This window comes from Homo sapiens, chromosome 4, assembly GCF_000001405.40.
Source record: "Homo sapiens chromosome 4, GRCh38.p14 Primary Assembly".
NCBI classification, from domain to species: domain Eukaryota; kingdom Metazoa; phylum Chordata; class Mammalia; order Primates; family Hominidae; genus Homo; species Homo sapiens.
Genome location: NC_000004.12, coordinates 56,366,325 through 56,388,440, shown reverse-complemented (window position 1 = coordinate 56,388,440; position 22,116 = coordinate 56,366,325). Strand labels below are relative to the sequence as shown.

General features: G+C 39.4%; 1 protein-coding gene across 14 annotated transcripts in view, besides 5 other annotated features; it reads left to right on the top strand.

The window, feature by feature from the left end:
* Window positions 518-1,024: an enhancer, noted in NCBI's record as "NANOG-H3K27ac-H3K4me1 hESC enhancer chr4:57253583-57254089 (GRCh37/hg19 assembly coordinates)". NCBI's record gives its function as "activates a minimal SCP1, AML or CMV promoter by ChIP-STARR-seq in primed H9 embryonic stem cells {active_cell/tissue: H9 hESC(primed)}" and the evidence as "EXISTENCE:reporter gene assay evidence [ECO:0000049][PMID:30033119]".
* Window positions 518-1,055: a biological region, named in NCBI's record as "NANOG-H3K27ac-H3K4me1 hESC enhancer GRCh37_chr4:57253583-57254089".
* Window positions 606-655: an enhancer, noted in NCBI's record as "active region_21578". NCBI's record gives its function as "activates an Ori minimal core promoter by ATAC-STARR-seq in GM12878 lymphoblastoid cells {active_cell/tissue: GM12878}" and the evidence as "EXISTENCE:reporter gene assay evidence [ECO:0000049][PMID:35858748]".
* Window positions 686-1,055: an enhancer, noted in NCBI's record as "active region_21577". NCBI's record gives its function as "activates an Ori minimal core promoter by ATAC-STARR-seq in GM12878 lymphoblastoid cells {active_cell/tissue: GM12878}" and the evidence as "EXISTENCE:reporter gene assay evidence [ECO:0000049][PMID:35858748]".
* The window catches only part of AASDH (aminoadipate-semialdehyde dehydrogenase), a 49,202-nt gene continuing 28,035 nt past the window's right edge, over window positions 950-22,116 (top strand). For 9 of the 14 annotated variants that reach the window (NM_001323899.2, NM_001286671.2, XM_017007743.3 and 6 more), the window contains exons 1-5: window positions 950-1,079; window positions 4,100-4,371; window positions 5,844-5,964; window positions 9,977-10,293; window positions 16,798-16,990. Coding sequence is in view for 11 of the 14 variants with exons in the window: in NM_001286671.2 (NP_001273600.1) it covers window positions 4,142-4,371; window positions 5,844-5,964; window positions 9,977-10,293; window positions 16,798-16,990 (861 nt within the window). In the remaining 3 variants the exon portion in view is untranslated. Of the gene's footprint in view, window positions 1,080-4,099; window positions 4,372-5,843; window positions 5,965-9,976; window positions 10,294-16,797; window positions 16,991-22,116 lie in introns of those variants that run through there. The other 5 variants (NM_001323893.2, NM_001286669.2, NM_001286668.2 and 2 more) reach the window with 4 other exon arrangements.
* Window positions 1,025-1,532: an enhancer, noted in NCBI's record as "NANOG-H3K27ac-H3K4me1 hESC enhancer chr4:57253075-57253582 (GRCh37/hg19 assembly coordinates)". NCBI's record gives its function as "activates a minimal SCP1, AML or CMV promoter by ChIP-STARR-seq in primed H9 embryonic stem cells {active_cell/tissue: H9 hESC(primed)}" and the evidence as "EXISTENCE:reporter gene assay evidence [ECO:0000049][PMID:30033119]".

Genomic DNA, 22,116 nt, shown 5'->3' with positions numbered 1-22,116 from the left:
TAGAAACATAGACAAGATACACTTTTGCCCACTTCCAACCTAAATACATAAATAAGGCTGTGTTAGTTTGAGTAGTCCATGGTACATCTTGGAAAAGTATAGTTGGCATGTGGAGATATTTTTTGCTTAGATTAGAAGCACAGTTTCTTGTCACCAACAACTACGGCTGCGAGAGCGTCCTATGCTTTTTTCTCACGTACTGTTTTGATGCAGAGCTGTCTTCGCAGTCCCTCCCCCGGCTAAAACCCCCCAAACAAAAAAATCCCGATTATTCTGCCACCAGACAGTAGCTTTAAAACACCTCTGTTATTGCCCTTGACGCTTATTGTAATAATTGACATGTCTCCAACTGTAACAATTCCCTTGGAAACAGAAAGTTCTATTCAGGCATATAGTTTACAAAACTCCACCTCGGACCTGCTTTAATTTCTTTACAGGTCCTACTAAATGCTCCTGTCAAATTCCTTAGTTATCGTTTCAATCTGCTTCCCAATTAAAATGTCAGCATCATGATGACAGGAACGTCGTTTGCAGGCGTCACTGCTGCAGCCATATCTCCAGCACGTTTCCAGAAAATGTCATTGGTTGAAAGCAATAACTCTCCTATTTCACAATGATTTCATCTCTCTTCACATCAACCCTAGGTGATGTTTTTATTCTCACCTTATGAACGAGAATACTGCGGCTCAAAATTCAAGAGTCTTGCCCAGAGTTTTTTGGCAAGTACGAAAGGGTTATGGCTCCAAACTGGTTAGCTCCGAAGTCCTTGCAAACCCTGTCCGAGACCATGCGCGACCCCAAGGAGCGCCTGAGCAGATAACCAAAAGTGAAAAAGCCTATAGACCTCTTCACTCAAGTTAGCGCCTCGGCTTCAGGAGAGGCAGCGCCAGCTCCACGCAGCCGGCCCGGGGTCGCTCGCACTGACGTCACGTAGCGACGCGGAAGATTTACGTATGGTGCCTCGCTCTGGGATAGCTTTACGGCTTCTGGGAGCTGCTGCTTCGCTGTGAGAAGTATCCGCGACGAGCTATCCGGGAAAGGGCCGAATGCGATCAAACCTAATCCGCGAGACTTGCTAAGTGAGTCGCGGCAGGGCGCGGTGTCCGGCGGGGGTCTGTGTGAAGGAGGCGAAGTGCCGCTAGGCCTGAGCCTGCTTCCACATACATTTGCTCAGCTTCAGGACCACTGCCTGACCTCGGATTTGATACATCGGGGTCTGGCGTGCTGGTGTGGTGCAGACTAACCCTGACCTGTGTGTACACTCCTGCGTCACTAGCCTCCGCCCCTCCATTCAAATGGAAATAAGTGTGCTCCGCGCTCAGCTACCCCCTAGAGTGGTTTCGAAGAGCAATGAAGAAATGTTTAGGAAGCTGTAAATTGCATTGTTACTCGTTGCATACCGTAAATTTAGAAGCCGGGGAATTGGGAAAATAAAGTTTCTAGATTATTTATCCATTTTTAAAACAGCCAGTGGCCTAGAGAGAGGCCCCATAGCAATTGAATTTGCTGACACTCTTAAGATCTTTGTTGACTAAATAGCAGCTTCTACAGTTGTAGCAAGTAAATTTATTCCTTTTACATGTAAAATCTGCTTACCAGAGTTTGCTTTTTTTTTTCCTTTTTTTTTTTTTTTTTTTTTTTGAGACGGAGTCTCGCTCTGTCGCCCAGGCCGGACTGCGGACTGCAGTGGCGCAATCTCGGCTCACTGCAAGCTCCGCTTCCCGGGTTGACGCCATTCTCCTGCCTCAGCCTCCCGAGTAGCTGGGACTACAGGCGCCCGCCACCGCGCCCGGCTAATTTTTTGTATTTTTAGTAGAGACGGGGTTTCACCTTGTTAGCCAGGATGGTCTCGATCTCCTGACCTCATGATCCACCCGCCTCGGCCTCCCAAAGTGCTGGGATTACAGGCGTGAGCCACCGCGCCCGGCCTTTTTTTCCTTTTTAAGGTCTCAAACATTTGGGCATTAATAAGTTTAGTATTCTCTACTGCAGAGAATGTTATTTGTGATTCAATGAATGAAAATGAAAACCTGAGACAAGAAGAATGGATTTTACCTTAAATGTCTGTAGCAACCATTGGGAAAATGGAAAGAAACATCTTAATTATCGTATAGATGTGTAGGTACCCTTCTGCGCTACCTGTATGTTGCGAAATGAACTCATTCCTCATAATTTAAGCGCCTGCTGCAGAAAGCCTCCCTTATATTTACATAATGATCATTGTATGTCTGAGGAAAGCTTAAAATTGTATCTTGTGCATTAAAAAGAGCTAATATTTATAGAAATGCCTACTAAAAATAAATAATGTAAGTACTAAAGTTGCCTTATATGTTTAAACTGTATATTTAGAAATCACAGCATTTTCAAACTTATGGGTCTTGGCAGTTATTGGTTCATTTTACTCTCTTTAGGATTTCTTTTTCCTAATTGATGTTAATTAGTTGATATAAATGAAAATTTTGAGTCAGGAAATCAATTCAAATAGGTGTGAATAAATTAAAAAAAAAAAAAGAAAGAAAAGAAAACTTGACTCGGCCGGGCGCGGTGGCTCCGCCTGTAATCCTAACATTTTGGGAGGCCAAGGTAGGTGGATCACTTAGGTCAGGAGTTCAAAACCAACCTGGCCAACATGGAGAAACCCTGTGTCTACTTAAAAAAAAATAACAAAAACAAAAATTAGTTGGACATGGTAGCGCGCACTTGTAATCCCAGCTACTCGGGAGCTTGAGGTGGGAGAATCGCTTGAATCTGGGAGGCAGAGGTTGCAGTGAGCCGAGATCACGCCATTGCATTCCAGCCTGGGGAACAGAGCGAGACTGTCACAAAAACAAACAAAAACTTTACTGAAGCAGGCTACTTGGTAAGTCTTAATTGCTTTAAAATATGGAAAACAGAGTTCAGAGAGGGAAAAAAATAACTTTCACCTTTAAGGAAACACTGTGAATTTTTTTTACCGTTGATCCCGAGTGTTTCTTTCTTGAAATACTGTTTCGAATCTTTTAATATAATCTGCATTAAGAAACCCAGAGAACATTGCATTGATATACTGCTTTATTGAGTTGTAATATTATATTTTCAGTCTAAGTGAACTTATTGGCAATTTAAAAATAAACTATACAGTATGAAGAGTTTACTTCTTGACAATTATACAAGTATGACTTCTGTAAAATATTAATAGTATAGTAATAAACACTGTTTTTATATATAGTTGTCTAGAACTGAATGAATAGGAATAGGGTTTTTTGCTTTCTTCTGTCAAAGATTGATTTTGCTTTCATCTGAGTTTAGCTCCTACTGGAATTTAAAAGCAAAGTTTATTTACATTAGTCATTTTATTTTATCTTTATTTCATTTACTTATTTATTTTGAGATGGGGTCTTGCCCTGTCACCCAGGCTGGAGTGCAGTGGTGCCGTCTTGGCTCACTGCAACCTCTGCCTCCTGGGTTCAAGTGATTCGCCTGCCTCACCCTCCAGAGTAGCTGGGATTACAGGTGTATGCCACCTTGCCCGGCTAATTTTTGTATTTTTAGTAGAGACAGGGTTTCACCATGTTGGCCAGGCTGATCTTGAACTCCTGACCTCAAGTGATCCACCCACCTCGGCCTCCCGAAGTGCTGGGATTACAGGTGTGAGCCACCGCACCCGGCCACATTAGTAATTTTAAAGTCACCATACAAGATTTTGACTACTCTATCTTAACAAATCTGTAACAGTTACTGAAGGAAAGTAAAAAAAAATTAAGTGTGGGGTCCTTTAAATTTGATTTTATTGATTAATTTTTTATATATTTCATATTTACATTGTGGTCCGTTGAGAGAGAAGTCTCCATTTTTACCTGCTTCATTTTCATCTGTGTATACCACTGCCCTCCCAAATTTTTTTGATGCTCTGACCCAGCATAGGTTGATGTATCAAGTTAATTTTCAACCTCATTGTCCTCAGTAAAGTTACCATAATTTCATAAGTTCAGAGATTCTTCATTTATATATCTTTGATATAATTATTTTTGTGAGATATTATTGTAGAGAAGTTTTTCCCTGTCCCTCCACCGAGCTCTCTAAAACTCCCTCTCCCCCTAACACTTCTGTATATACACAGGGTTCTGTGCTACAAATTGATGTTTAGATAAACTTCAGTGAAATGACTCTTCAGGAATTGGTGCATAAGGCTGCCTCCTGTTATATGGACAGAGTAGCTGTATGTTTTGATGAATGCAACAACCAGCTTCCAGTTTACTACACCTACAAGACTGTGGTTAATGCTGCTTCTGAATTATCAAATTTTCTGCTGTTACACTGTGACTTTCAAGGAATTCGGGAAATTGGTCTCTACTGCCAACCTGGGATAGACTTACCCTCTTGGATTTTAGGGTAATATTTTTTAGAACTGTAAATTTGATGTTACTCCAAGCTAATGTAAATTTTTAATAGAGTATATTGCAAGTTATTGTTCTGTTTACTATTGGACTTTTCTATATTGTTTGGTCAATTGTAGAGAGACTAAAGAAGTTTGCATTTCCCCAGTATTATTTTTATATTATTTAAATTAATTATTCTGAGCTTATTTAGGAAAGACTAGAAGCTTTCACTAATAGAACGTATAAGTATCTCCAAAATGTAAGGGCTTCATTAATCTGTTAAAGGAAAACAATTATAACAATTTATAACACTTTGTTGTTAGATAAAAGAAAACAGGATTTCACAGATAACATGACTATGTTTTTTGTCCGCAACTGAAATTTGAGGCACTAAGGTATTCAATAAATCAGTAAATTAGAGTTTTGGATAATAGTTGATATAGATTGAAATATGAACCCATTAGAAGACACTATTCCAACAAATATTTGCAAAATGTTCAATCATTTAAATTGTTCTAGAATGTTATCCTCATATAGTGATTTCTATTCTAGAACTCTGCAGTAAGTATAAACTGCCAAAGAAATAGTTTATTCATTCTATAATATGTGTCTTAGTAAATTAATTATATAAATATAAAGCAAAAGATGTTCAAAAATTTACTTTTGGCCAGGCACAGTGGCTCACACCTGTAAATCCCAGCACTTTGAGAGGCTGAGGCTGGAGTATTATTTAAGGCCAGGAGTTCGAGACCACCCTGGTGACTTCACAAGACCCCATCTCTATAAAACAAATAAAAACAACAACAAAAATTTACTTTCACTCAATTATTGACGAAATTTATTGAGAATTTACTATGTGCAAAGATCTAGTGTCCTTAAAGTATACCTGAAACTACTTAAAATGCTTAACTTTAAAAAAATCTTGTATTTCTCTATATTAAGTGATAAGAATTTAACATAGTAAATACTCAGGATTTTCATTAAGAAAAGATAAAATGACAGTGTTTATGTATTTATTTATTTTTGAGATGAAGTTTCACTCTTATTGCCCAGGCTGGAGTGCAACGGCGTGATCTCGGCTCACCGCAACCTCCGCCTCCCGGGTTCAAGCAATTCTCCTGCTTCAACCTCCCAAGTAGCTGGGATTGCAGACGCCCGGCTGATTTTGTATTTTTAGTAGAGACAGGGTTTCTCCATGTTGGTCAGGCTGGTCTCCAACTCCCGACCTCAGGTGATTCGCTCGCCTCAACCTCCCAAAGTGCTGGGATTACAGGCGTGAGCCACCGTGCCCGGCTAAAATGACAGCGTTTATTACCAACTATGTGTCAGTGAAAACATTGGAAATTTCTGATCAGCAATAAAGTGCTCCGGAAACCATTTTTATGCTGCTACAAAAAATAAATAAAGTGCATAGAGAAATAGAAATGCTTAAACAAATACTAAATCAACAGACATTCTATGCTGACTGTGTACTTTTTTCTTTAGAATTCTCCAAGTCCCGGCTGCTTATGTACCTATCGAGCCAGATTCACCACCGTCATTATCAACTCATTTTATGAAAAAATGTAATCTAAAGTATATCCTTGTTGAAAAAAAACAAATTAATGTAAGTCTGGATGTTTCAATTGTTTTTTGCCTGTATTACATTTATTTCAATTGAAACATTCCTTCCTTCTCCCATCTGGATTCCTAAGTCTGCTAAATGTGGCAAGGTTTCTCAGTCTTTGCACTATGACATTTTTAGGGTTGAGTAATTGTTGTGAGGAGTGTTCCGTATATTATAGGATATTTAGCAATATATTTGACCTCCACTCGCTAGACCTCAGTAGCACCTCCCAGTCATAACAACCAAAAATCTCCAGACATTGCCAATTGTCCCCCAGAGGGGCTCTCCACCCCTCACACTCCATTGTGAGCCACTATTCTGTAGTATGAACAGATCTGTTAGCCTTATAATAATATATTATGCATTGTTTTGAATTTCTCTTTCCAAAGTATTTCCTATACTGCAAAATTTTATAATACTTGGAACTTTCATATTTATGGCAATTACATTGGTCAGCAACACTGAAGAATTATAACTAAGCTTGCATTTTGAAAAAGAGACTGGTACTTAGAGGAGATCTTTCCAGAAAAGTAAATTTATTGTTTTTTTATTTTTAAATGATTGCCAACCAAAGATATAACCAAGAAACTCTGTTTTTGGGGCAAGAATTGGTGTTATATCTTCAGCAAGATGCAGCCCATGCTTCATTGTTTATTTATTATTTATAAAATATTGTTTTACTAAAGGGGAAGAACATTATAAAAATATATTCAATTTAGCCTGTTTTTGCCCATTTTCTATATGAGCCAGTTTGTATTGGGGTAACTTAAATGCATTCCCTGCTTTCACCCCCCCCAACTGTGTGTGTGTGTGTGTGTGTGTGTGTGAGAAGTGTCAAGAACTTGAGGTATATGGGGGACTTTCTAGAGACTCAAAGGGTTTTTTTTTTTTTGAGCCAGAGTCTCACTCTGTTACCCAGGCTGAAGTGCAATGGGCAGTGGTGCGATCTCAGCTCACTGCAACCTCCGCCTCCCAGGTTCAAGCGGTTCTTGTGCCTCAGCTGCCCAAGTAGCTGGAATTACAGGTGCATGCCACCACACCCGGCTAATTTTTGTATATATATTTTTAAGTAGAGACAAGGTTTCACCATGTTGGCCAGGCTGGTCTTGAACTTCTGACCTCAAGTGTTCTGCCTGCCCCGACCTCCCAAAGTGCTGGGATTACAGGCATGAGCCACCACACCTGGTCTGGTTAATAAATATTTTTAAAATAATTACTTATTAGTGTGTAGCCGAAATTTCCTCTACTCCTCAAATTGGTTATTGCATTGTTCATAAGTAAGCAAAACTGAAATGGGGATGTGATGTTTATTTTTCTTAGCAATCTTAGTGAAAATTTTATAAAAGGTAGCTGAGTATCAGTATTAATTGTCAATGTCAAGGTATTCTTTATGACCAGTAGGAGTTGGACATAGCAAAACCCAAAAAGGAGTTGGGCGCAGCAAAACCTTGCTTCCTATCCCATGATTTTGATGATGGTGTAAGTGTTCTTCCTTCATTTAACACAGGAACGATCAGTAAGTATTTTTAAGCATCTACTGTATGTATGCCCAGCATCCACTAAAGCAGTAGTTCTCAACTGGGGACAATTGGCAATGTCTAGACATATTTTTTATTGTAATGATGGAAGTGGGGTGCTACTGGCATCTGGTGGGTAGAGGCCAGCGATACTGCTAAAAATCCTACAGTGTATAAGACAGCACTCCACTAAGAATTTTCTGGTCCAAAATATCAGTAGTGTTGAAGTTGAGAAACCTTGCACTACGGACAGGATGATTGGGAGGGCATTAGCATATAAGCCTTCCAGCTTTTTATAATGTAGTTGGAGAGAAAAGTTAATACTTCTGAACCTATAACATCTACATAGTGTGATAATTGTCCTAAGTGAAGTAAACATAACCTAGTAGATATAGTAGAATTTTAATGGGGAGGGATGGTTTTGAGCTAGATCTGAAGCGTATGTAGTTCTTTAATTTTTCAAATATTACAGGCCACACCACATCCCCTACCCAATACATACACACATTAAACACACAAAGAAAACACTGTAGGCTTCTGGGTTGTGACCTTTTTCTCATTATTTATGTTGATTTATTTAATGTGAAAACTTAGGTTATATTTCATTAAGCTGTTGTTGTCAACCTAAAAAGATATATTCAAAGAAACCTTACTTTCAACATGTACAAATTCAGTTTAGCATCTCTTCATCCAAACTCACTTCTGGATTAATTCTTCTCCATCCACCAAATCACCTGGGCCAGAAACCCAACAATTTTCTTAGACTCACTCTATATCCAGAAAGTCACCATGTCTTATTTATTCTTTGCTCATAGACCCTTTCTAACCACTCCTCTTGTAACAGAATAGTAGTTCAGGACCATATAGTATATCCGAATTACTGCAAAAGACTCATTAAATGGTTCTCACTTAGCAGAATCTCATTTATTATTCTGTCCTTGATAGAGTCTAATCTATGCTATTGCCACCTTCAATTGGATCCTGTCACTTACAGGTTAAGATCTAAACTCCTTAGTGCTGAGTGTACACGGTTATTAAGGATTTGCATCTCATCTCCTATCAACAACGCACCTCACCTTTTCCCTCTCCCCCACCCCGTTCTTTACCTTAATTGGAAGGCTTAATGTTCACATACCAGCTTTCCCAGGTCAGATCCTCAATGTTGGCTGTTTGCCTGAAGTGCCCATTTTTATTATTTGGAGAATAGCTACTTATAACAAATATTACCCATGAAGCAATCTCTGACCTTCTAGGCAGAGTTCGGCATTCTCTGTTCCCATTAACATTTCAAGCCTGCTTTATTATCATACGCATTGCATTATAATTGCTTGTATATGTCTGGTGTTTTTGAAAATAAGTTAGTAAGGACAGCACTTTGCTCTTGGAGATTTATTTATCTTTTTACCCCCGGGTATACAGCAAGTACTTCCCCCCACTCCCCAAAAACGTCATGTTGAATGAGTAAATGAATACAGTTGGCCCTCTGTATCCAGAGGTTTCCTATCCGAGGATTCATCCAACTGCAGACTGAAAATATTTGGGGCCCACGCCTATAATCCCAGCACTTTAGGAGACTGAGGCAGGAGATCATTTGAGGCCAGGAGTTTGAGACCAGATTGGGTAACATAGTGAGACATCGTCTCTGCTAAAAATAAAAAGCTAGCTGGGTGTTTTGGTGCACACCTGTAGTTCCAGCTACTCAAGAGGCTGAGGTGGGAAGATCGCTTGAGCCCAGCTGTTCGAGGTTGCAGTCAGTTAAGATTACACTGCTGTGGTCAGGCGTGGTGGCTCATGCCTGTAATCCCAGCACTTTGGGAGGCTGAAGCTGGCGGATCATGAGGTCAAGAGATCAAGACCATCCTGGCTAACACGGTGAAACCCCGTCTCTGCTAAAAAAAATACAAAAACATTAGCCGGGCGTGGTGGCAGGTGCCTGTAGTCCCAGCTACTCGGGAGGCTGAGGCAGGAGAATGGTGTGAACCTGGGAGGCGGAATTTGCAGTGAGCTGAGATTGCGCCACTGCACTCCAGCCTGGATGACAGAGTGAGACTCCGTCTCAAAAAAAAAAAATAAATAAAAAAATAAAGATTATACCACTGCACTCCAGCCTGGGCAACAGAGTGAGACCCTGTCTCAAGAAAAAAAAAAAGAAAATATTCAGAAAAAAAAAAAAACCCAGTGCAACAGTAAAAACTAATACAGATTTAAAAATATAGCAACTATTTACATAGCATTAATTAGCATAGTTTTGTATTAGTTATAAGTAATCTAGAGATCATTTAAAGTATATGGGAGGATGTGCATGGTTTATATGCAAATACAGCACCATTTTATATAAGGGACTTGAGCATCTTCAGATTTTGGTATCTGAGATGATCCTAGAACCAATTCCCCCAAGGATACTGAGGGATGACTGTATTTCATATTACTTCTATATAAAGAAGAATATCTTTTAACATACTAATACTGTAAACTTTGTCCCCCATTTCACACAGAAATTTAAATCTTTTCATGAAACATTATTGAACTATGATACATTTACAGTGGAACATAATGACCTAGTGCTCTTCAGACTTCACTGGAAAAATACTGAGGTGAACTTGATGCTAAATGATGGAAAAGAGAAATATGAAAAAGAAAAAATAAAAAGCATAAGTTCTGAGCATGTCAATGAAGAAAAAGCAGAAGAACACATGGATCTGAGGCTAAAGCATTGCTTAGCCTATGTTCTACATACATCAGGGACTACAGGGATACCGAAGATTGTCAGAGTGCCTCATAAGTGTATAGTACCAAATATCCAGCATTTTCGGTAAGTTCTAGTCTTTGACTCTTTCTCAGAATCTATATTTTAGGCCAGGTGTGGTGGCTTATGCCTGTAATCCCAGCACTTTGGGAGGCTGAGGCGGGTGGATCACTTGAGGTCAGGAGTTCAAGATCAGCCTGGCCAACATGGTGAAAGCTGTCTCTACTGAAAAAATACAAAAATCAGCCAGGCGTGTTGGTGGGTGCCTGTAATACCAGGTACTGGAGAGGCTGAGGCAGGAGAATTGCTTGAACCCAGGAGGTGGAGGTTGCAGTGAGCTGAGACTATGCCACTGCACTCCAGCCTGAGTGACAGAGTGAGACTGTCTCAAAAACAAAACAAAACAAAAAACCTTGTATTTTAAAGGGAAAAAAATAATTTTAAAACGTTTGGTTTTATAACTCTTGTTCCTAAATTAATAGTCCTAAGAAGTAAATTGAGTCTTTTTTGTTTCAGCTGTATCTGAACTTTAGTTCTCTGCAGACTAGGCCCTTCACCTGTTTCATCCAAGCCTAGGGCCAGACACGGAACAAACAAATGATATGATTAGAAGCTTTGCATCTTAATTATTAATAAAAAGGGAGAAAGGATTTTCCTAGCAGAGGTACTAGCAGAGTTATATGAGAATGAAGGAGTTTGTCCTACTAGAATGTCAGAGCAGGGCTGAGGAAACAGTGAAAGATCAGGAGCCTGGTATGCCCTGTTGAAGGCTGAACTTAATCCAGTAGATGATGGGGAACCATTAAAAGATTCTCATTTTGTTAAGTTCACTCTTGTAGTAGTATTGTGGAGTTTGACTTGCTGATGTGGTCAAGAGATTAGAAATCTCCAAAGTTGACATTCTTAATTTGCCAAGAAAGAGAGGAAGAAGTGAACCTTAGGGGTGTAGTCCTAGAAAATCAAAGGAGGAAACAGAAATAGAAACCTCATGAAACATGTACGTAATTTTATGTCATTTTAAGTTTTATGTAATTTTAAATGCTTAAGTAATATTCAAAAGTAAAATGGAATGAATGAAAAGGGAAGAAAAAAGAATCAAGTGAAGTTAATTTTATTTTATTTTATTTATTTATTTTTTTTTTTTTTTGAGACGGAGTCTCGCTCTGTCGCCCAGGCTGGAGTGCAGTGGCGGGATCTCGGCTCACTGCAAGCTCCGCCTCCCGGGTTCACGCCATTCTCCTGCCTCAGCCTCCCAAGTAGCTGGGACTACAGGCGCCCGCCACTACGCCCGGCTAATTTTTTGTATTTTTAGTAGAGACGGGGTTTCACTGTTTTAGCCGGGATGGTCTCGATCTCCTGACCTCGTGATCCGCCCGCCTCGGCCTCCCAAAGTGCTGGGATTACAGGCGTGAGCCACCGTGCCCGGCAAAGTTAATTTTAACAATATATTTTATTTAATTTAGTATACTCCAAAACATTACTTCAATATGTAATCAATATAAAAATTACTAGTAAGATATTTTGCATTTTTTATGCTAATCATCTTCAAAATCTGGCATATATTTTATACTTACACATCTCAACGTGGACTAGCCATATTCTTAGTGCTCAGTGGACCTATGGTATTGGATGGCACATGCAGGCCTGGAAAGAAGAAATGGTTAAATGCTGGTAGAGAAAGATGTCTGTTGTAATCGACAATATAGTCTTTAGTGACTTCTTAATCCCCAAGATTGGAGATAGATTACATTAGGCTGGAGATAAGAGAATAGGAGATAACGAAATAGAGGTAACAAAAGTCAAATGTTATTTTCTAGAAACTGGTTTTAATGGAAAAGAAGGAATTCTGGGATGGACACAGGTGTTTTGTCTTTAAGATGGGAGAGGTTGGCTGGGTGCAGTGGCTCATGCCTGTAATCCCACACTTTAGGAGGCTAAGGCAGGAGGATCGCTTGAGCCCAGGAGTTCAAAACCAGCCTGGGTAACATAGTGGGACTCTGTCTTTAAGAAACATTAAAAATAATTAGCTGGGCCTGGTGGTCTGTGCCTATAATCCTAGCAACTCGGGAGGTTGAAGCGGAAGGATTGATTTAGCCCAGGAGGTCAAGGCTGCAGTGATCCGTTATTGCACCACTGCATTCCAGCCTGGGTGACAGAGCGAGACTCAATCTTAAAAAAAAAAAAAAAAAAAAAAGATGAGCGGTTTAGAGGCTGAGGGTGGGGAATTGGTAGAAGGGGTTGGTTTAAATAATGAATTAGTAGTAGGAGTATTAACAAAGGAGTAAGATACATTTAGATGGGAGGAAGATACATTTAGATGGGAGGGAATGGCATTATTTAAAATACTGAGTGGAATACCTCTTTTTTTGATAGCCTCAAAAAGATTAGGATAGTAAAGTAAATACATTTCTTGGTGTTAGAGGAAGCCAGTAGGTTTTAACTTTTGTATGAAGCAGAAGGCCAAGTCATACCTAAGAGTGTGGGAGGTGAGGTGGGGATGGGGATGTAGGGAACTTGAAGAAAATGAAGCAGATAAGGAATCTGGGGGAGGTGGAGAGACAGCCGACTAAGAGGCACTGGCCCAGCAGTGGTAAGAATGGTCCGTGAAATGGGAGCAAACATTTGCTTAATGAGGGGTGAAGGGTTGATTTATGACTAAATTATACAAATTTCTTGATACCTATTTTGTGCTTCAACTTCATTCAATTGATTTGCCTGTTAGAAATCTTTTTTTGGTTTGCTTTTAGGTTCTTAAGTGAGGTGGTAAATAATTAGATTCTAAAGAGATGAAATGTTAAAGTAGTCAATTTAAAAATTAAAACAGTAATGTTAAATTTTCTATTTTAGACTTAGATCACTAAGCTAGGGAGTATTAAATTTCAGACACATATTAGAACAATCTTATCTCTGTTGCTGGCTCCCCAAATATTACCAGAATAACCTATTAATAAGATAGTGCTAGCTGGGCATGGTGGCACAAGTCTGTAGTCTTAGCTACTCCAGTGGCCAAAGCAGGAAGATTGCTGAGCCTAGGAGTTTGAGGCTGCAGTGAACTGTGATTGAACTTGGGCAGCTGCAAGACCCTGCACTCCAGCTTGGGTGACAGAGCGAGACTCTGTCTTAAAAAAAAAAAAGACAAAGCTGAGTTTTCTTGCATATGTTGGTAAAAGGCAGCACTACCTCCAGAGAGAATGATAGCTCCAGAAAGGGAAGGACTAGGTTTCCTTTATTGAAATTTTGAAATCTAATTTAGATAGATCTTTCAAATCAGGGGATTAATTTAAAGGCTTGGATAAGGATAACAATTTTTTAAACAGTTAAAAATTAGTTGATTTGTTTGACTTTGCATAAGGTACTTAACCTCCATGAACTTCAGTTTTCTCCATTTTAAAATGGGGGTGGAGAGCTTTTCCTCTACCATCTGTGACGCAGTATCTAGGGGACTGAGAATTAAACTGACAAAAGACAGATTAAGAAAAAAAGTTTATTCCTGTGCATATAGCAGTTTACAAAAGAAACGGAATTGCATTTTATTAAGTTCATTTAAATGTATTTGTAAATTTATTTGTTCATAGGAAGAACAAATAAATTGTTTTGGAAAGAGAAATGGGTTTTCAGGAAAATAAACAGGAGATAAGAAAGTTTGTGATAACACTTGGGTATGCAGGTGCAGTGGTCTTTCTGTCTTCTTCATGGCCTTCCTGGGAGTAAAACCACTCTGAAGAAGAAGTTTATGGCAGCCTCATTTCCCTGAAGTTTCTGCTTTCAGTCAGATAAGGGAAGCTCCAAGAAGGTTTCTGCATTTGTTGAATCTCAAATGTCCTTTTTTTTTTTTTTTTTTTTTCTGAGACAGAGTCTCACTCTGTCACCCAGGCTGGAATGCAGCAGTGCAGTCTCTGCTCACTGCAACTTCTGCCTCCCAGGTTCAAGCTATTCTTCTGCCTCAGCCTCCCACTATAGGTGCACGCCACTATGCCTGGCTAATTTTTGTAGTTTTAGTAGAGACAGGGTTTCACCATCTTGGCCAGGCTGGTCTCAAACTCCTGACCTCAAGTATCTGCCCACCTTGGCCTCCCAAAGTGCTGGGATTACAAGCGTGAGCCACCGCGCCCAGCCTCAAATGTCTTTACCTTAAAATAATCTTCATACCAACTTGGTTTCTGAGTTAGGTTCTCACATAATCATACCTGCCTCATATGGTGGTTGGGAAAATGAGGAACAGTATATTAGATACCCAGCCTAAGCTTCACAAGTAATATGTTTAAATGTTTGTTGCATTCCACTTTTTTTCTTCCTTTAAAATCTGTCTCTTCTTTTTTTTCAACTTTTCTTATATTGAATGCATCTTAAGCTGCTTTCGTGAAATGAACTACATGGAACTACATGAACTGTATGCATGCATAACCTTGCCCATTTTTGTTCATAGAATTGAAAACTAAAAATATTCTCAGAATTTAAGCTTTGTTGGAAGCCTGTTAGAAAGTTTGCTCTCCCCTGAATACCTAAGTAGGAAGCTAGACAATATATGTGAAGAATACTTCCTCTAAAACTTGAAGTTTGAGGGTAGCCTTTGTTGGGCTCAGAAAATGATACCCCAACGTATGGCACTTTGGCATGCTGAGTACTTTGAACTGAAGGACATTGGAAGGACTTCAGAAGTAAAGTCTCTTTCTGACCTTTTCCTGCCCTTCTTTCTCTTGCTTCTCTTTCTCCCCAAGGCAGGCCATAGTAACTGAACCCCTCTCCCTCAAAGACAGTCATAAAACCTAGAGGCCAGGCGCGGTGGCTCACACCTGTAATCCCAGCACTTTGGGAGGCTGAGGTGGGTGGATCATTTGAGGTCAGGAGTTCGAGACCGGCCTGATCAACATGGTTGAAACCCAGTCTCTACTAAAAACTCAAAAAAATTAGCCAGGTTTGGTGGTGCATGCCTGTAATCCCAGCTACTCGGGAAGCTGAGGCAGGAGAATCGCTCGAACTTGGGAGGCAGAGGTTGCAGTGAGCCGAGATCATGCCACTGCACTCCACCTTGTGTGACAGAGCAAGACTTTTCTCAAAAAACAAAAACAAAAAAACTAGAAATATAGAAATATTACTCTAACCTTAATATGTAAGAGCTGGCTGTAAAGAAATTGCTCTTACTTACCTTGTCTGAAAGTAGAACATAAGACTCATTCCAGAAAGGGTCCTGCCCTATACGTGGGAGGAAGAAATGCCACACAGAGAGGCCAGGAATTTAAAAGGACAGGCCTTGCTGGATTTTCCCACTCAGTTTATTACTCATTCCCTTTTTGTTGAATCACATTTCTACACAGCTGTCCACTCTATTGAATCTAAGCATTAAAATGGACACTTTTCCCTTGGGTCTTTGGGTCTTCATTCTGAAGCCTCCCATGTTTCATAAAACTTTGATTAAATAAATTTGTCATGCTTTTCTGTTGTTAAACTGTCTTTTGTTTATAAGAGTGTGGGCTGTGAGCCTTATGATGGGGAGGAAAGGTATCACAGCCTTTCGGCCCCTACACCTTTAACACACAATGAGTTTTTATTTTACCTGAGACACCATATACATAGTTATAATTTTTAAAATGTTTATACCATATTTGAAGCTTTTTTGAAATTAAGATGCTTTTAGATGTAGTGGTGTCTGTGTGTTCAAATTAAAATAGTGTCATAGGCTCCACAATGACTATCCATGCTGTATAAGAGCCTAACCACATATATTCTTATTCTGCTTTTTGTTCAGATACTGAAAGAAAATGCTAAATAGAAAGGGGAGTCGGAAGTCTCTATTAAACATCATTGAATAAGTATGACAGAATAAGGATTCTGCCAGAGGAGCAGAACCAGGAGTTAGATCAGGGATTGATTATAAGAAATTGGTTTACACAATTGTGGGGCCTGGCTAAGCAAGTCTAAAGTCCATAGGGATCAGTTAGGAAGGGGTGATCACAAGCAGGCTGGAATCCCGTGGCCATGAGACTGTCCCAGGTGAAATCAGATTGGGAAGAAGGGAGATTAATTGCAGACCCAGCTGCTGTTTGGGCCTCTTCATCAGAGAAGGCCTAAAACTTCTTCTAAAGGCCTTCCAAGTAAATCCAGCCAACCCTGGATAATCTCCCTTTTGATTAAGTAAATCAGCTGATTAGGGACTACAGGGTTTGATTGAATAACTGCTTGAAGAAGGCGTGTGTGCTGCTAAGCAGCAGCCTCCCTTCTGTTCTTCAGCTCTCAAGAGAATATCCCTTGTCTCCTTCCCTAACAGGAAACATACTAGAGAGGAAATTCCGGGGACAGTAGTTCAATCAAACCAAGTTGACACATCAAAAGTCATCACAGATGATAAAATATGTCTGGTAAAACGTGGATATTGCTTTAAATAGCTGTTAATTCTTTTATAAAGAAGATTTCCTGAATTTTGATAGCACCATTTTGGCTAATTTAAGAGAGAAGAATAAAATCTGGCCAACATTCAGAAACTTGATCATCATAAACACATGAACACTCTTTTAGGATATGTGCTTACTGAATGTTTGACGTTTCTCATAACTGCATTCTGTTTTGCCTTAGGGTACTTTTTGACATCACACAAGAAGATGTTTTGTTTCTGGCTTCACCTCTGACCTTCGATCCTTCTGTTGTGGAAATATTTCTTGCTCTATCAAGTGGTGCCTCTCTGCTTATTGTACCAACTTCCGTCAAGTTGCTCCCATCAAAATTAGCCAGCGTTCTCTTTTCCCATCATAGAGTGACTGTTTTGCAGGTACATTTTAGTAGCAATGAACGTTTTGTTTATCATTTTTCAATATTTTAAGTGTTTTAGAGAATATTTTGTATTCCTGTAGTTCTTTACAATGGATTAATATAATCTGGTTAGATTATCAAGGGCCGTCTCCTCAGGATGTGACTTTTTTTGTTGTTTATTTGAAAATGAAAAAAGATAAATGAATTCTGCCTAGAAAATTCTTTTATTATGTATTTTGTGCATACTATAATAATTAGAGGACCTTGACTTTGACTCAGATTTGTTGGATTTGAGAAGGATAGGCTGCCTCTTCTGTCTTAAAATCTATGTATGTTGTGTTTCTCATGAAAAACTAGTATAAGTCAATTAAATTATAATCGAGTTAGGAATATAGATTTTCTTATTTTTACATCAGTGTACTTTACATTAACCTACAGAAACAAGTATTTTTGAAATTTGGCCTTTTAAAATGTTATTTAAATGTGTATCTGACTGGTGATTAGGTCATGCAGGTACACAAGTATATGACTGGTACACAAGCCTTGAGTTACTACATTGTAAGTAGCTAACAGTACTAGAGAATTAGCAATATTATATGCATATCATAATATGTAGATATCTTAGTTAAATGTTTAACTGCTGTGAGCCTCAGGTTTTATCTGTAAATGGAAATAATACCCATCTCAAATAGAATTAAATGAGACAGTGTAGCATAGTTCCTGATTGTGTGTGTGAGTCCATTCAGGCTGCTGTAACAAAATACCATAAACTGGGTAGCTTATAAACAACAGACATTTATTTCTTATAGTTCTGGAGGTGGGAAGTCCAAGATTAAGTCATCAGGAGATTTGATCTCTCACGAGGGGCCCACTCGCTGATTCATTAGACTGCGGTCTTTTCATTGGGTCCTCACTTGATGGAAAGGGTTTTATAAGGGCACTAATCTCATTCATGAGGTCTCTGCCTGCATGACCTAATCACTTCACAAAGGCCCTACCTCCTAATACCATTGCCTTGAGAGTTAGAATTTCTTTTCTTTTCTTTTGTTTTTTCTTTTCTTTTCTTTCTTTCTTTCTCTCTCTCTCTCTGTCCCTCTCTCTCTCTCTCTTTCTTTTGACAGAGTCTTGCTGTGTTGCCCAGGCTGCAGTGAAGTGGCGTGATCTTGGCTCACTCTGCCTCCTGGGTTCCGGCGATTCTTGTGCCTCAGTCTCCTGAGTAGCTGGGATTACAGGCACCCGCCACCACACCAGGCTAATTTTTGTATTTTTGGTAGAGACAGGGTTTCACCATGTTGGCTAGGCCAGTCTCACTCCTGGCCTCAAGGGATCCTTCTGCCTCAGCCTCCAAAGTTCTGGGATTACAGGCGTGAACCACTGTACCTGGCCTGAGAGTTAGGATTTCAACATACAAATTTGAGGGGGAGACACAAACATTCAGACCATAGTGTGTTATATTCGTATACCTGTGTGCATATGTGCATCTTAATTATTAGTTTCCATTGTCTGTTTTTTTTTTTTTTTTTTTAATTGAGACAGAGTCTCACTCTTCTCGCCCAGCCTGGAGTACAGTGGTATGACCTCGGCTCACTGCAATGTCTGTCTCCCGGGCTCAAGAGATTCTTGTGCCTTGGCCTCCTGAGTAGCTGGGATTACAGGCGTGTACCACCACGCCCAGCTAATTTTTGTATTTTTAATAGAGACAGCATTTTGTGATGATGGCCAGGCTGGTCTTGAACTCCTGGCCTCCTGGTCTCAAACTCCTCAATCTGCCCGCCTTGGACTCCCAAAGTCCTGGGATTTCAGGTGTGAGCCACCACGCCCACCTTCCACTTTCTATTTTGATAAACTAAAATTATCAGATTTTTATCCAGGGTAACGAGAATTGAGAGGATATTAAACTTCTGCTATAAAAACAAAATTTGATACTTTGAACTTCTTTAAGGCAATGTGTTTTTCATCCTAATTCATGTATATATATGAACCGAGTGTAGCAGTGTGGCTTGTTGGGTGTGAGGGGATATAAATTCTCATCTGTTAGAGAGTCATTCCATGAATTCTGTGGATCTAGATAAGATTTTACTATAACTGTTTTATTTACCTGTAAAATTCAAAGAGCATATTTCTCACGGAATGTTTGCAAAGTTCCTTGATAGATTTGATTCATAGTTACTAAAAGGGAAGGAGACTTTCCTTCTATGTCAGGTCAATGAATTCTACCTCTTTAAATCTCATCCCCTTGTTTGATGTTTTAGCACAATCTCAGATAAATTTACTTTAGCAGTTGTTTTTAACCTTTTTGGGATCAAATTTTTCTGAGAAACTGATAGAAACTTACTCTTTTCCAAGAACATGACAAATATTGCATATAGTTTCATGGTGATTTTATTTATCTCACAATAGTTATTGGGAATGTCATCAGCAGATCACATTTGACTTGGTTTGAGTAAGGAGGAGAGGTATAGAAGCTGACAGGCTGTCCTTTCCTTTGTGTGAGGCACGTGCCTTTTCTTATTCTGAATTTTAGCTGTGTTGTCAGGGTTCATCTTTTCTTTTTCTTTTTTTTTTGGGAGGGAGTTTATATTTACATTTGTTTTTTTTTTTAATTTAAGTTTTAGGGTACATGTGTACAACGTGCAGGTTTGTTACATATGTATACATGTGCCATCCATGTTGGTGTGCTGCACCCATCAACTCATCATTTAGCATTAGGTATCTCTCCTAATGCTATCCCTCCCCCCTCCCCCCACCCCACAAAAGTCCCCAGTGTGTGGTGTTCCCCTTCCTGTGTCCATGTGTTCTCACTGTTCAATTCCCACCCATGAGTGAGAACATGCGGTGTTTGGTTTTTTGTCCTTGCAATAGTTTGCTGAGAATGATGGTTTCCAGCTTCATCCATGTCCCTACAAAGGACATGAACTCATCATTTTTTATGGCTGCATAGTATTCCATGGTGTATATGTGCCACATTTTCTTAATCCAGTCTATCATTGTTGGACATTTGGGTTGCTTCCAAGTCTTTGCTATTGTGAATAGTGCCGCAATAAACATATGTGCGCATGTGTCTTTATAGCAGCATGATTTATAATCCTTTGGGTATATACCCAGTAATGGGATGGCTGGGTCAAATGGAATTTCTAGTTCTAGATCCCTGAGGAATCGCCACACTGACTTCCACAATGGTTAAACTAGTTTACAGTCCCACCAACAGTGTAAAAGTGTTCCTATTTCTCCACATCCTCTCCAGCACCTGTTGTTTCCTGACTTTTTAATGATCGCCATTCTAACTAGTGAGAGATGGTATCTCATTGTGGTTTTGATTTGCATTTCTCTGATGGCCAGTGATGATGAGCATTTTTTCATGTGTTTTTTGGCTGCATAAATGTCTTCTTTTGAGAAGTGTCTGTTCATATCCTTCGCCCACTTGTTGATGGGGTTTTTTGTTTTTTTCTTGTAAATTTGTTTGAGTTCATTGTAGATTCTGGATATTAGCCCTTTGTCAGATGAGTAGGTTGCAGAAATCTTCTCCCATTCTGTAGGTTGCCTGTTCACTCTGATGGTAGTTTCTTTTGCTGTGCAGAAGCTCTTTAGTTTAATGAGATCCCATTTGTCAATTTTGGCTTTTGTTGTCATTGCTTTTGGTGTTTTAGACATGAAGTCCTTGCCCATGCCTATGTGCTGAATGGTATTGCCTAGGTTTTCTTCTAGGGTTTTTATGGTTTTAGGTCTAACATGTAAGTCTTTAATCCATCTTGAATTAATTTTTGTATAAGGTGTAAGGAAGGGATCCAGTTTCAGCTTTCTACATATGGCTAGCCAGTCTTCCCAGCACCATTTATTAAATAGGGAATCCTTTCCCCATTGCTTGTTTTTCTCAGGTTTGTCAAAGATCAGATAGTTGTAGATATGTGGCATTATTTCTGAGGGCTCTGTTCTGTTCCATTGATCTATATCTCTGTTTTGGTACCAGTACCATGCTGTTTTGGTTACTGTAGCCTTGTCATATAGTTTGAAGTCAGGTAGCATGATGCCTCCAGCTTTGTTCTTTTGGCTTAGGATTGACTTGGCAATGCAGGCTCTTTTTTGGTTCCATATGAACTTTAAAGTAGTTTTTTCCAATTCTGTGAAGAAAGTCATTGGTAGCTTGATGGGGATGGCATTGAATCTATAAATTACCTTGGGCAGTATGGCCATTGTCACGATATTGATTCTTCCTACCCATGAGCATGGAATGTTCTTCCATTTGTTTGTATCCTCTTTTATTTCATTGAGCAGTGGTTTGTAGTTCTCCTTGAAGAGTTCCTTCACGTCCCTTGTAAGTTGGATTCTTAGGTATTTTATTCTCTTTGAAGCAATTGTGAATGGGAGTTCACTCATGATTTGGCTGTTTGTCTGTTATTGGTGTATAAGAATGCTTGTGATTTTTGTACATTGATTTTGTATCCTGAGACTTTGCTGAAGTTGCTTATCAGCTTAAGGAGATTTTGGGCTGAGACGATGGGGTTTTCTGGATATACAATCATGTCATCTGCAAACAGGGACAATTTGACTTCCTCTTTTCCTAATTGAATACCCTTTATTTCCTTCTCCTGCCTAATTGCCCTGGCCAGAACTTCCAACACTATGTTGAATAGGAGTGGTGAGAGAGGGCATCCCTGTCTTGTGCCAGTTTTCAAAGGGAATGCTTCCAGTTTTTGTCCATTCAGTATGATATTGGCTGTGGGTTTGTCATAGATAGCTCTTATTATTTTGAGATACGTCCCATCAATACCTAATTTATTGAGAGTTTTTAGCATGAAGGGTTGTTGAATTTTGTCAAAGGCCTTTTCTGCATCTATTGAGATAATCATGTGGTTTTTGTCTTTGGTTCTGTTTATATGCTGGATTATGTTTATTGATTTGCATATATTGAACCAGGCTTGCATCCTAGGGATGAAGCCCACTTGATCATGGTGGATAAGCTTTTTGATGTGCTGCTGGATTCGGTTTGCCAGTATTTTATTGAGGATTTTTGCATCAATGTTCATCAAGGATATTGGTCTAAAATTCTCTTTTTTGGTTGTGTCTCTGCCAGGCTTTGCTATCAGGATGATGCTGGCCTCATAAAATGAATTAGGGAGGATTCCCTCTTTTTCTGTTGATTGGAAT